We start from the raw sequence: 14,629 nt of genomic DNA on the forward strand, positions 1-14,629 counted from the left end.
GATGCAGCCAAGAAGATGTGCGCTTTCTTCCTGCAGCTCCCAGTTTAGGGCTATTGGTGCATTCTTGGGGACAGGCTGCCAGTGTCTCTTACATGCTCTCCACCCTCCCAGTCCATGTCATATAAGCACTACTTTAGACAGGTGCTGCTGAGAGGATTGGTGCTACCATCTCTCACCCAGCTGCCACGTATAGGGCAGGAGCTATGTTCTAGGCATTGCAGGCCAAGAATACTGGGGGCCCAAGTGCTCTCACCCCAGCCTGCTTGTGGGAGGAAGGCTTCATCCCAGCAGGGGAAAGCCTATAAAATGAGGGACTACTACCCTCCACCCCTCCTCCCCTATGCACCACTCCTAGAGCAATGGTGTCACTCCAGGAGAAGTGAGCTACCGTCCTCTCCCCAGCTCCACTAAAGTGGTACAGATGTTCTGCCTAGGAAAAGAGGCAGGATTTAAGGACAGCTAACCCACAACTCTGCTTGAGGGGACTCACTTTATTCGGAGCAAAGTATGGAGAAGTTCACCCATAACAGTTTTGTGGAAGACAGTATCTTGGTAGCGAGTAATTAAGAACGGTTGGTAGTTCTGTGATACTACTAGCAGAGAAGGAGATAACCAAGGAGAACCCTCCTCCTAGGTCACATCCCCGGAGGTCCAAAATACTGTGCACATGTGCCTGGTACCCACTCAGGAGCAATCAAAGTGGAATGTGGAGTAGACTCGAAAGCATTACCCAAGCCATACGCAGATCCTTCAGCAAAATGTGGAGCCTGACTGGGTTAAGGGATTTAGACATAACCCATGACCAGCAGTGATTATGGAATAGGCTACTCTGAACCAGGGGTGACTCCTAGGAATCTACACTTCAAAATAAAATTATAGTCTTCCCTGGTGGTCTGAAAGACTGTATGCATACCCAAAGCTGTGACTGTTCAGGAGGAAATGGTGAAGGAACCTTTGAGCTGCTAGCCCCTGGTTGAACATGGGACAAAACTGGAAACTTCCTGAACTGTGAAAACAATCTCGCAGCCACATATGCTTTTAATAGTAAAGAGCACATATCTCACTTACTAGCGGGGCTTAAGTTCAACTTCTGACTAAAAAGTAGTTTATACGGATCCAAGGGTGACCCCTAAAAACAGGGGAGAAAGTTAAAAGCAAGGAAAATAATCTGAACAGGAAGCTCAGAGGCTGCAAACTATGTGTGTTGTGGGGAATGAGCTTCAAGAATTAGTCTGGCCAAGTCAAAAAAAAAAGAAAAAATGACCAAACAATAGCATACCCCAAGGTAGGGGTGGGGATCAGTATCTAGTTACTACAGTATATTATCTAAAAGTACAATCTTCAACAAAAAATTAGAGATATGCAAAAAACCCCCAAGAACAACATGAAAGTGTGATACATACACAGGAAAAAAAAAGTTAATAATAGAAACTGCCTTTGAGGGGGCCAGGTGATGAACTTAGTCAACAAAGACTTCAAGGCAACCACTATAAAAATGATCAAAGAAGTAAAAGAAACTATGTTTAAAGATTTAGAGGAAGGTATGATAACAATGACTTATCAAATAAAGGCTATAAAAAACAAATTTTCAAGAACCAAATATAAATTCTGGAGTTGAAATGTACCACAATTGAAATAAAATATTTCAATAAATAACAAAAATAAATAAATGTTTACTAAAGGGACTCAACACAATATTTGAGTGGATGAAGGAACCACCAGAGAACTCAGATTATGCAATCTGAGAAACAAAGTAAAAATAATAAAGAAAAACAGTTTCAGAGAAATACAAAATACCATTTAGTGCAGCAATATACATGTAATACCAGGAGAGGAGAGAAAGGAGTAGAAAAATATTCAAAGAAATCATGGTTGAAAACTTTCCAAATTTGATTAACACTAATATACACAACCAAGAAACTGAATGAACTCCAAGCAGGACAAAGGCAAAGAAATCCACACCCAGAAACATCATAGTCAAAAAGTTGAAAATGAAAAATCCAGACAGAAAAATTTTGAAAGCAGCATGAAAATCTCATGTACAAGAAAACCATAATAAGCTTAACAGTGAACATCACATCAGAAACAATGAAAGCCAAAAGGCAGTGTGACAATGTTTTCAAAGTGCTGAAAGAAAATAACATGAAAAACTATCAAGAATCCTGTGTCCAGCAAAACTATTTTTTAAAAATGAAGATGAAATCAAGTCTTGGATAAACAGAAATTGAGAAAATTTATTGCTGTCAGAGCTGCCTTATAAGAAATACTAAAGGAAGTTCTTCAGGATGAAAGGAAGTGACACCTGTCATTTGAATCTCCATGAAAAAACAAAGAGCTCTGATAAAAGTAATTCTGTAGGTGATGATAAAAGACAGCGTTATTGCAAATTAGCTCTTCTTCTGACTTAAAACAGTATCTAAAATTGTATTGTTGGAACTATAACATACAGAAACAATATATTTGATAACACCACAAAGGAAGGAGTGAGAAGGAAACTAATTGGCATTAGGAAATGACATCAGATGATAATTAAAATCCACAAGAAGTGAAGATAACCACAATTGGCAAATAAGAAGTTTCACATATATTTTTAAAAAACAATAAATATGTTTGTGTTCTCATTTCTTCTCTTAGATTTCATAAAAGACGTACTGTGTAAAAAGCAGTAATTACAATGTATTGTTAGGTTTGTAACATCTGTAGGCCTTAATATATTAAGAATAATAGCACAAAAAAGGGAGAGGGAATGAAGCAATATAGGAAAAGTTTTAATATCTTACTGGAATTAAGTTAGTTTTAATTTGAAGTAGATACTGATAAGATGTGTATTATAATGCCCTAGGGCACCACTAAGAAAATAACTGAAAATATATAGCTAAGAATCATTAAAGGAATTTAAATTGTATACTAGGAAATAATCACTTGAGACAAAGGAGATGGTAGAAGAGAAACGTATAAACAATAGAAACATATAAACAATGTAGCCATGAGACATGTAGAAAGCACAAGCCAAAGTGGTAATTGGCACTCCAAACATATCAATAATATTAAATGTAAATATATTAAACAATCTAATCAAAAGAAAGAGATTATCAGATTTGATAAAAACAAAACATGACCCAGGAGTTACTTTAGATTCAAAGATATAAACAGGTTGAAAGTAAAAGAATGGAAAAAGATATACCATGCAAATATTAACCATAAGAGCTATGGAGTGACTATACTACTATCAGATAAATAGACTATAAGATCAACTATGAGTCAGATCACATCATTTCTCTGGTCAGAATCCTCTAGTAGCTTCCCTTTCCTGAGAAGAAAATCCAAACATTTAACCAGCAACTACTCCCCACTCCCTAATCTCATGTCATCATTCTCTGAAAATGCCTTTACTCTGTCCTACATTTTGATCTTAGGTTGCATAGGTATAGAATTCTTGGTTGGAAATTAGTTTTCCTCACTTGAAGACACTGCTCCATTTTTCCCTTCGGAAGCTTTAAGGATGGTTAGAGTATGCTCTTCAGCCCTAGTACTCTGAAATGTCATGAAAATGTACCAAAGTTTAGATTACTTTTCTTTCATTGTGCTGAACACTCAATGGAATGGGCCCTTTTGATTTGTAAATGTGTGTGTGTGTGTGTGTGTGTGTGTGTGTGTGTGTGTGTGATCTCTCTTCTTCCTGTTTGCTCTGTTCTCCCTGTCTGGGATAACTTATTTACTAACTGTTTACTAGAGTGGGTTGCTTCTGTAAATGACGACTACCACCCATTGTGTGTTGAGTTTTATTAGTTTTTGCATTAGGCTATTTTCCTGTCTTATCCCAAAGTCTGGAAGGAACTTACTATAACCCTAAGTGCTCTAAACCTATTCTCTTGATCATCACTTGGCAGACAATTGCACTTAATAAATACTTAACAATTGCCAAATGAACATTAGTTACTAGGGACTCAGAGGTGACCACATGATGACCCGAAACATGACTAACTATACATATGCCACTGCTCTAGGTGAGTTGGATGGGCCTGCATCTTCTCCCCCTGTCCTCACTTTCTTTGTTGGCTTCTGTGCTTCCTGACTCTGACTCTCATAAGTCTGATATTAGCTTCACTTGTGTCTTGACGCCACCTTACTCACCAATTCTCCCAAACTGTCTCCAGCCCCGTTCTCTGTGCATGTAACCTCTTGGTTCTTTTGGTCCTAAAATTCCTAAGATTAATAACCACCTAAAATATTATTAATTTACCTTTATTGGGCAAAACTAGATATCATAATCCTCACTTTTCATATGAGGCAAGCTGAAGATTGTCTGGATAAAAAGAATGAGGCTCTCAATCTAGGTCTTAGTCTAAAGTCTCATGCTTTTTCAACCTTGCATGCTGCCTCTCAGTCTGCACTGTGTTATCAGGAGCAAATGAAGCAAGCAGTGTTAGAATCTGCACAGATTTTGGTTATGTTAATGGGCATGCAAACTCTCCCTAAAGTTTTCTCATTTTAAAAGCTGATTTCTGCAGCTAGAGTGATAAACACAGAAGAATGGATTTCTGTTAATAAGAATTAAGATGAGGTTATAGTTATGGGGATGGTGGGGTCAGGGGAGGTGGGCTGGATTACTGAGGATAGAGAGCCTTTTGTCAGTGCCATTAAAGAACCTCATCCAGGCACTGCTTGGACAAGCAGAGCCAGGTGATAACAGCAGAGTTTTTGTTGGCATTGCTTCTCCCACAGATGACAAAGCCAAGGACAATGTGTTCCAGCTTCAGGGGGAAGCAAGTTGTGCATTAGGAGGTAAATCTGTGGCTTGCAAAAGGTTGAATAAGATGCCTCTTAAAAAAAGCTCAGCAATCAGCTAAATTTAGCGTGGAGAGCACCATCCAGGCCAAGAATATTCTTTGGCCTTTGGCCCATAGCATTTTCATTTGACGGGGAATTGGATGCATTTTCATTTCCTCTAAGCTTTTCTCTTAACTCTCAGTACCTTCGCCTTTGGAGGCAGGAGTCTATGTGCTAATAGTTGGCTGAGGCCCCGTAGCTGATTCATGTTGGGTTAGGCTGTTGTTACATTGCTATAAAGAAATACCTGGGACTGGGTAATTCATAAAGAAAAGGGCTTTAATTGGCTCACAGTTCTGCAGGCTGTATAGAAAGCATAGCACCAGCATCTGCTTCTGGTGAGGTCTCAGGAAGCTTCCAATTATGGCAGAAGGCAAAGAAAAAGCAAGCATGTCACATGGTGTGAGTGGGAGCAAGAGAGAGACCTGGGACTATGTGGGGGAGGCACCACACTCTTTTAAACGGCCAGATTTCATGAGAAGGAATGCACTATCACAAGGACAGCACCAAGGGGATGGTGCTGAACCATTCATGAGAAATCCCATCACCTCCCACTAGGTCCCACCTCCAACACTGGGGATTACATTTCAACATGAAATTTGGTGGGGACATATATTCAAACTATATCACATGTCTCTGCTCATAATGACAGTTAAGGATGGTCTTGCTGCCCATTTTCAGTGAGAGATTGGGTGTTCACTGTGATGTTTTCATATAATGTTTTTCGTATGTCATCCATCTGGAGGAGGCTTTCTTGACTCTCCCCTCTCTTCTCATTATCCTTTGCATTCCCTTCTCTGAACTTTATTCTTTTTCTTTGAAGTTGTTTTCAAAGACAAGAAGATCTTTGGCAATGCGAGCCCTTTGCAGACCATAGTGAATGCCTGTTCATCTGCTCATTGATTCAGTGCCACTACTGCATGTCAAATGCCACAGCTTCCAGGGTACCCAGCTTTCTACCTACCATCTGATTTCCCAGAATGTAGAAATGGACATCCAAATCTGTGGAAAATTCAGAAACAATAAGATAGAGTAAAATAAAGTGTGAACTCTGGCATCAGCAGGTCCAAGTTCCAATACCAACTTTGCTATTTACTTGACATGTTATTTACCTCTCTGAGCATGATTTTTCTTGTCTGTGAGAAGGTGATAATAACTTGTAAGTTCTTTTCTGGCTTAAAAGGGGTACTGATAGGTATTCTTTAAGTGTCGGTTTTCTTCTCTCTTTTCTTACAAGGAACAACTGGTTTGGCTTTGTTACTCTTTACTCTGCCCTCTGATATTGCATATTCAGCAGAACCGATCTCTGGGTCTTACAGTCACCTAGCTGGCTCATTGTGAACTCTAGGGAGAGTACCTGGTTTTTGTGCCTGGGTACTTCCACTTCCCTTTCACCAGGTTTATTGGTTTGTTCCTCAGTAGACCTGAGTAGTTTTTTATCCCAACCATTAATCTGGTTTGGATTCACTCATTCATTAAACAAATATTTATTGAGCACTTCTATATGCCAACACTGTGTTAAGTGCTGGAGACATATTCTCTGTCCTCAAGGAACCTACAGTTTAGTGAAGATAGACAAGTCAATGCACAACTACAATGGTGTCAACTAATGCCCGTGTAGGTGAAGACACACATAGAAAGGGTACTGAAACCAACCTGGGGACTCACCAAGGGCTTTGTGCAGGAAGAGACATTTATACTGACATTCAAGAATGAGTAGGGACTGGCCAGGCAGAGACATGGATGGGTAGAGTAGGTGTGAAGGATGATGAAAGTGAAGGCAGTGCATATATGTGCAGCATCAAATAGGCTGGGCCTCCGCAGAGATTGAGCTGACTGTGGCACTGTCTACCTACCAGCACCTGGGAGGCTGCTGGGATTGGAGTTATTTTAGGGAGACAGATCATCAAGGATGGCTGGCAAGACTTGTCTCTTTGTGAAGTATTTTACAAAATACTTAATGACTTTTCAGAGACTCTTTGGAAATAGTCCCAGTGTGATATTTCTGTTGGTCAATGGGTAGGTGTTTGCATGCATTTATGTGTGGAGAGGTGCAAAGTGTAGGGGAAAGTCACTTCTCTCTTAATTTTTGTGCCATGATGTTAAATGTATTTTCTTTGTGGGACATTTATTCTTGAGGTCCAATCAGTCACTTTGAAGAACAAAGTGTGACATCTTCAGCCCAGCTGGGCCCATGTGCCCATGCCTGCCTGAGTTGCTCAAGCCCTCTCATTGGTCCTAAACGAGACACTGCTACTTTAGACAGGGTTTAGGTTGGCTGATGGGGAGGAGGAACATATAACATGTGAATCAGGGTCATGGATCCCTGCCCAGGCATAAGGGGCAGGCATAAGTGTGTGTGTGTGTGTGTGTGTGTGTGTGTGTGTGTGTGTGTGTGTGTTGCAGGTGAGTTGGAAGCCACATCTCAAAGCTGGCTGCTGCTTTTCACCTTCCTTCTCTGATGCTCCTGCCCTGCCTATCTACCACATGTGGGGAACACCTAGGTGCTTCATTACAAAGTCTGATTGCTTAGCTAGTTAGAGTCAAAGTGACTCAGTGCTTTCAAGTCTATCTTGGTTGGAAGAGAGCTTCTACCTGAAATTTGCAGCCATAATCTCAGAGAAGGAGGATTCTCTCTATTCTCCTGTTCTCCTTTCCTTGCTCCCCAGTTGCCTTTGGATACAATACAAGGTAGTCCTGTTTGATCTAGATTCTTCAGATCCTGAATTGGTCAGAAATGCTAATCTTGTCCAGCAATTCTGGTAGATCCCAAGGCTGATATCTCTGTATAACCCTAGATACAATGCCTTCTAGCATCTTCATCTATTTGTATCTTTGAATCTGAATTCCCTTATTGCCAGAGGATAATCTCTGAGATTCTTTAGTTTATTTTGCGTGTGATGGGAAGTAAGGTGACTTCTTCAAGATTCCAGAGCTAGTTGAGAGCAAGGTCACTAATTGTTAACCCAGTACTCTTTCCACTAAATATCAACAACTTTATCTACATTCTCTATGTATGGCCCCGAAGTGTGGGAGAGAACTGATGTGCTAGACATTGTGCTAAGGGATTTACACATATTTCCCTCATCCATTCATCATCCTAGCTCCTGAAATAGGGCCATTGACCCTGATAGTAAAAGAAGGGAACGGATTCAGAGAGGGAAGCAACTTATTCACAGATGGAGCTGGAGTTTGAAGCAAGGTCCAAAGCTTATGTTTTTACTTCGAGGCAACTTGGCTTCAACCTGCTACACTTGAGCCTAAGAACTGAAGGGCTTTGGGCTGGGATCAGGAGTTACTGCCCCTTGCTGTTAACACTGCCGAAATTCAAGCCTGGGTCTGACTCTACATTTTCTTCTTTATCCTCTATAGTAAGGCCTTTAGGACTGAATTTCTCCACTTAGACACCTTTTTACTACAATTCCGATTGAGTCTAATGGCTGCCTTTGCTAGCTTCTGGGGAGTGTATTTTTTTCTTATTCAGCCATCTTGATTCTTCCCACAAATGTGCAATGTAATGTTCTTGACTTTTGGGTTGGTTAAAGAATATCTGCGGACTATGGGAAGAATAATTTTAAAATGCAAAGCTTACTAGTGTCAGAGATGGATCTCAAATTATTTCAAGTAGGCTCTCATACCTTATTGAAGAGACGTCTTGACTTGGAAGCTCGTAGATAACACATTTAATTGCTACTTGGAGCTCCTGCTTATATTACCAGCAGAGGCACTTGGAAAAGGTGCTTGTGACTGAAATTGTGGTTTCTCTTTTTTATATATAAAACCTTCTCTCTCCAGTTTCTGAATTACTATTTGCAGTGATACATTCAATTCTTTTGACATGCATTGATCTCCCACAGGATGCGGATCACTACAGTGAAGACAGTCAGTTTGTGCTATCTTGACTTGTTTTTGATCTTGGAAGTTAGAGAATTGAAATGCAGAGCTTAAAGGGGCGAGGATGGAGTTTGCCAGGATAGGTATTGTCTTAGATGGAAGGTATTTATGTCATGTTTTCCGTCTCTTCATGAGCTTGATGTGCTTTGTCTGTGATTGCCAGGGTGTTCCAAAAGGCTTTTACAATGTCTCTGATTTTTCTCAAGTCACCACAGCATTGCAATAATGTGCTCCTTCTTCACATCCAGTCTCAGCTGCCTCCCTCTTTCATGACTGCATTTTACAGAAATCCCAAGTCTTAGTATCTTGGCTTCTTGGTACATAGGACACATGGCCGGGCAACTCCCCAGGGCCAGGCTCTATCTGGTGTCAGGAGAAGACAGCCCAGTGTGCTTGCTTTCCAGCTCCTGCCCAGATGTCTCCGACATTTCCCAGCCAACAGCTCTCTGGCTTTTTACTGAATCACTGACCCACTGTGAGCTCTCACATTATCTCTTCCTCCCAGGCCAGCTGTGGATTGATTTTTTTTTTTCAGGAGAGAAGCTCCTAAGACATAGATAGGGCCAGAAGGGCCCTGGGAAAGAGTGCAGCTCATTTGCCCACTTGATTTCTCAGGAGTGGGCCAGAGATGAGATTTAAGGAGAGGATAGGGCGGAAGGCAACACTGCTCCTGGACACCCGCTTTAGAATGAGAACTGTTTTTCAGGCAGCTTTTGAAACTTTCCTGAAACTTTCCATAATGCAAGGGGACACTGTAAGAGGCTATGGATATTCTAGCAAGAAAAGAGCAAGAGGACTGTTCAGTGAGTAAACTTGCTCTGGTGGAAATCAGCTTTAGACTTTTCTTCATGGAAGTGCCTTTCTAACTCCCTTACTATACCCCTTTTGTCTCCTTCCCTCCACTTTGCTGGCTTTATGTAGTACCCCTTCCTGATTTCTGCCTGATTGGATAACTTTAACCTGACACTGGCTGGGTGCTCCCTGCAATGAGTCGTGTGGTGATTTGCAGCTATGGGCTTTAGTATGCCTCATAGTGATGTTATTCTCCAGGTTCTGAGGGTCTGGGAAGCAGAGTTTATCTTGGTCTGGGGGTTAAATTAAACCTCGATGTGTTGCTGCCTTATGTTAAAGATCACAAATGCTCCAAGGTATGGCGACAGCTGATCCCTTGTGTAATAATGAGCAATGTTTCATAGTGTGTAGTTGTAAATGATCCTGTAGGAGCTTTAGTTCTTTGTTGTATATAGGCAAACTCTGACCTAGTACAAAATGCCAGGACTGGCATCCAGCCTAAATTATTATGATGAAAAAGCTGGTGGGGCTGGCCAGACTATCTCTCTTTTCAATCTCACCTCTTGCAGCTGCTCAGTAAATGGCAAGCATGATGGAAAAATATAGGTCCAGTCTTACTTCTCTGGAACCCATTTATTTAGTAGGAAGGATTCTAGAATTAGGTGGTTTTTCTCCTCTTCATTTTTCCTGACAGATTTTTCTCTCCCTGTCATACTGTAAGATTGATTTCTATCTTTAAAATGTGTTCATGGGGATGAGGGCTTTTCAGGGAAAGCATTACAAATCACCCACGACATCAGGCATCCTGGGAAGAAGCAGAGCTGTTTCTACAGTGCTCATTTTTCAGAGAGCGCAGTGCCACCTGCCATCTTCCTGTATTTCCAATTTCGCATTGTCCTTGTCTGTTTGAAGATGGGGTATGTGAATTCCAGATGAGCTTGTGCTGGCTTTTAAAATTCACATGGTTTGAGGAGAAGGAGCAGTGACAGCTGATTGATGTAGAAATGGCTTAGGAAGCCAGGCTGAATCAGAAATCCTGATTCCAATGAAATCCCCCTCTTGGCTGAGTGCTGGCTTGTCACCACTGAGACAGTATTTCAAAGTGATTTCACAGGTGTTAGTTCATTGACTCCTCCCACCATCTCATGAAAGAGGCAGGGGAGGAAAGAGTAAGTCCACAGGACAGAAGAGGAAGCTGAGAGTTTGAATGTTTTTGTGACTTAGACTTGGCCCAAGGCAAGTTAGCAGTGAAACTGGCATAAGAACCTAATTCTTTTTCCACTGTACCTGGAGGGTCTAAGGCCTAGGGAAACATTTTTTAAAGTCTCTAAAAAGCTCCTTAGGTGGCATAGTATCAAGGAACTTGGAAGGGATCAGAAAATTAACCTCAAATTATCTGGATTTTAAAGCATCAATCAATGTACCTTTTTATTAAGTTCCTAGCATTGTATTTGGCCTACAGTAGGTACTTAGAGATGAGAGCTTATTCATTATTTCTTTTTTATTTTATTTTATTTTATTATTATTATACTTTAAGTTTTAGGGTACATGTGCACAATGTGCAGGTTAATTACATATGTATACATGTGCCATGCTGGTGTGCTGCACCCAGTAACTTGTCATTTAACATTAGGTATATCTCCTAATGCTATCCCTCCCTCCTCCCCCAACCCCACAACAGGCCCCAGAGTGTGATATTCCCCTTCCTGTGTCCATGTGTTCTCATCGTTCAATACCCACCTATGAGCGAGAACATGTGGTGTTTGGTTTTTTGTCCTTGCGATAGTTTACTGAGAATGATGATTTCCAGTTTCATCCATGTCCCTACAAAGGACATGAACTCATCCTTTTTTATGGCTGCATAGTATTCCGTGGTGTATATGTGCCACATTTTCTTAATCCAGTCTATCATTGTTGGACATTTGGGTTGGTTGCAAGTCTTTGCTATTGTGAGTAGTGCCGCAATAAACATACGTGTGCATGTGTCTTTATAGCAGCATGATTTATAGTCCTTTGGGTATATACCCAGTAATGGAATGGCTGGGTCAAATGGTATTTCTAGTTCTAGATCCCTGAGGAATCGCCACACTGACTTCCACAATGGTTGAACTAGTTTACAGTCCCACCAACAGTGTAAAAGGGTTCCTATTTCTCCACATCCTCTCCAGCACCTGTTGTTTCCTGACTTTTTAATGATCACCATTCTAACTGGTGTGAGATGATATCTCATTGTGGTTTTGATTTGCATTTCTCTGATGGCCAGTGATGGTGAGCATTTTTTCATGTGTTTTTTGGCTGCATAAATGTCTTCTTTTGAGAAGTGTCTGTTCATGTCCTTTGCCCACTTTTTGATGGGGTTGTTTGTTTTTTTCTCATAAATTTGTTTGAGTTCATTGTAGATTCTGGATATTAGCCCTTTGTCAGATGAGTAGGTTGTGAAAATTTTCTCCCATTTTGTAGGTTGCCTGTTCACTCTGATGGTAGTTTCTTTTGCTGTGCAGAAGCTCTTTAGTTTAATTAGATCCCATTTGTCAATTTTGGCTTTTGTTGCCATTGCTTTTGGTGTTTGTCATGAAGTTGTTGCCCATGCCTATGTCCTGAATGGTAATGCCTAGGTTTTCTTCTAGGGTTTTTATGGTTTTAGGTCTAACATTTAAGTCTTTAATCCATCTTGAATTAATTTTTGTATAAGGTGTAAGGAAGGGATCCAGTTTCAGCTTTCTACATATGGCTAGCCAGTTTTCCCAGCACCATGTGTTAAATAGGGAACCCTTTCCCCATTGCTGGTTTTTCTCAGGTTTGTCAAAGATCAGATAGTTGTAGATATGCGGCATTATTTCTGAGGGCTCTGTTCTGTTCCATTGATCTGTATCTCTGTTTTGGTACCAGTACCATGCTGCTTTGGTTACTGTAGCCTTGTAGTATAGTTTGAAGTCAGGTAGCGTGATGCCTCCAGCTTTGTTCTTTTGGATTAGGATTGACTTGGTGATATGGGCTCTTTTTTGGTTCCATATGAACTTTAAAGTAGTTTTTTCCAATTCTGGGAAGAAAGTCATTGGTAGCTTGATGGGGATGGCACTGAATCTATAAATTAACTTGGGCAGTATGGCTATTTTCACAATATTTATTCTTCCTACTCATGAGCATGGAATGTTCTTCCATTTCTTTGTATCCTCTTTTATTTCATTGAGCAGTGGTTTGTAGTTCTCCTTGAAGAGGTTCTTCACATCCCTTGTAAGCTGGATTCCTAGGTATTTTATTCTCTTTGAAGCAATTGTGAATGGGAGTTCACTCATGATTTGGCTCTCTGTCTGTTATTGGTGTATAAGAATGCTTGTGATTTTTGTACATCGATTTTGTATCCTGAGATTTTGCTGAAGTTGCTTATCAGCTTAAGGAGATTTTGGGCTGAGACAATGGGGTTTTCTAGATATCCAATCATGTCATCTGCAAACAGGGACAATTTGACTTCTTCTTTTCCTAATTGAATACCCTTTATTTCCTTCTCCTGCCTGATTGCCCTGGCCAGAACTTCCAACACTATGTTGAATAGGAGTGGTGAGAGAGGGCATCCCTGTCTTGTGCCAGTTTTCAAAGGGAATGCTTCCCGTTTTTGCCCATTCAGTATGATACTGGCTGTGGGTTTGTCATAGATAGCTCTTATTATTTTGAGATACGTCCCATCAATACCTAATTTATTGAGAGTTTTTAGCATGAAGGGTTTTTGAATTTTGTCAAAGGCCTTTTCTGCATCTATTGAGAAAACCATGTGGTTTTTGTCTTTGGTTCTGTTTATATCTGGATTACATTTATTGATTTGTGTATATTGAACCAGCCTTGCATACCAGGGATGAAGCCCACTTGATCATAGTGGATAAGCTTTTTGCTGTGCTGCTGGATTCGGTTTGCCAGTATTTTATTGAGGATTTTTGCATCAATGTTCATCAAGGATATTGGTCTAAAATTCTCTTTTTTGGTTGTGTCTCTGCCAGGCTTTGGTATCAGGATGATGCTGGCCTCATAAAATGAGTTAGGGAGGATTCCCTTTTTTTCTATTGATTGGAATAGTTTCAGAAGGAATGGTACCAGTTCCTCCTTGTACCTCTGGTAGAATTCGGCTGTGAATCCATCTGGTCCTGGACTCTCTATGGTTTGTAAGCTATTGATTATTGCCACAATTTCAGAACCTGTTATTGGTCTATTAGGAGATTCAACTTCTTCCTGGTTTAGTCTTGGGAGGATGTATGTGTCAAGGAATTTATCCATTTCTTCTAGATTTTCTAGTTTATTTGCATAGAGGTGTTTGTAGTATTCTCTGATGGTAGTTTGTATTTCTGTGGGATCGGTGGTGATATCCCCTTTATCATTTTTTATTGTGTCTATTTGATTCTTCTCTCTTTTCTTCTTTATTAGTCTTGCTAGCAGTCTATCAATTTTGTTGATCCTTTCAAAAAACCAGCTCCTGGATTCATTAATTTTTTGAAGGTTTTTTTATGTCTCTATTTCCTTCAGTTCTGCTCTGATTTTAGTTATTTCTTGCCTTCTGCTAGCTTTTGAATGTGTTTGCTCTTGCTTTTCTAGTTCTTTTAATTGTGATGTTAGGGTGTCAATTTTGGATCTTTCCTGCTTTCTCTTGTGGGCATTTAGTGCTATAAATTTCCCTGTACACACTGCTTTGAATGTGTCCCAGAGATTCTGGTATGTTGTGTCTTTGTTCTCGTTGGTTTCAAAGAACATCTTTGTTTCTGCCTTCATTTCGTTATGTACCGTACCCATTCAGGAGCAGGTTGTTCAGTTTCCATGTAGTTGAGCGGTTTTGAGTGAGATTCTTAATCCTGAGTTCTAGTTTGATTGCACTGTGGTCTGAGAGACAGTTTGTTATAATTTCTGTTCTTTTACATTTGCTGAGGAGAGCTTTACTTCCAACTATGTGGTCAATTTTGGAATAGGTGTGGTGCTGAAAAGAATGTATATTCTGTTGATTTGGGGTGGAGAGTTCTGTAGATGTCTATTAGGTCCGCTTGGTGCAGAGCTGAGTTCAATTCCTGGGTATCCTTGTTAACTTTCTGTCTCGTTGATCTGTCTAATATTGACAGTGGGGTGTTAAAGTCTC

General features: G+C 40.4%; 1 annotated feature.

Annotated features, from left to right (window-relative positions):
- Positions 9,057-9,257: a silencer, noted in NCBI's record as "peak1460 fragment used in MPRA reporter construct". NCBI's record gives its function as "represses an SCP1 promoter by STARR-seq MPRAs in K562 erythroleukemia cells {active_cell/tissue: K562}" and the evidence as "EXISTENCE:reporter gene assay evidence [ECO:0000049][PMID:32103011]".

This window comes from Homo sapiens, chromosome 11, assembly GCF_000001405.40.
Source record: "Homo sapiens chromosome 11, GRCh38.p14 Primary Assembly".
Classification (NCBI taxonomy): Eukaryota; Metazoa; Chordata; class Mammalia; order Primates; family Hominidae; genus Homo; species Homo sapiens.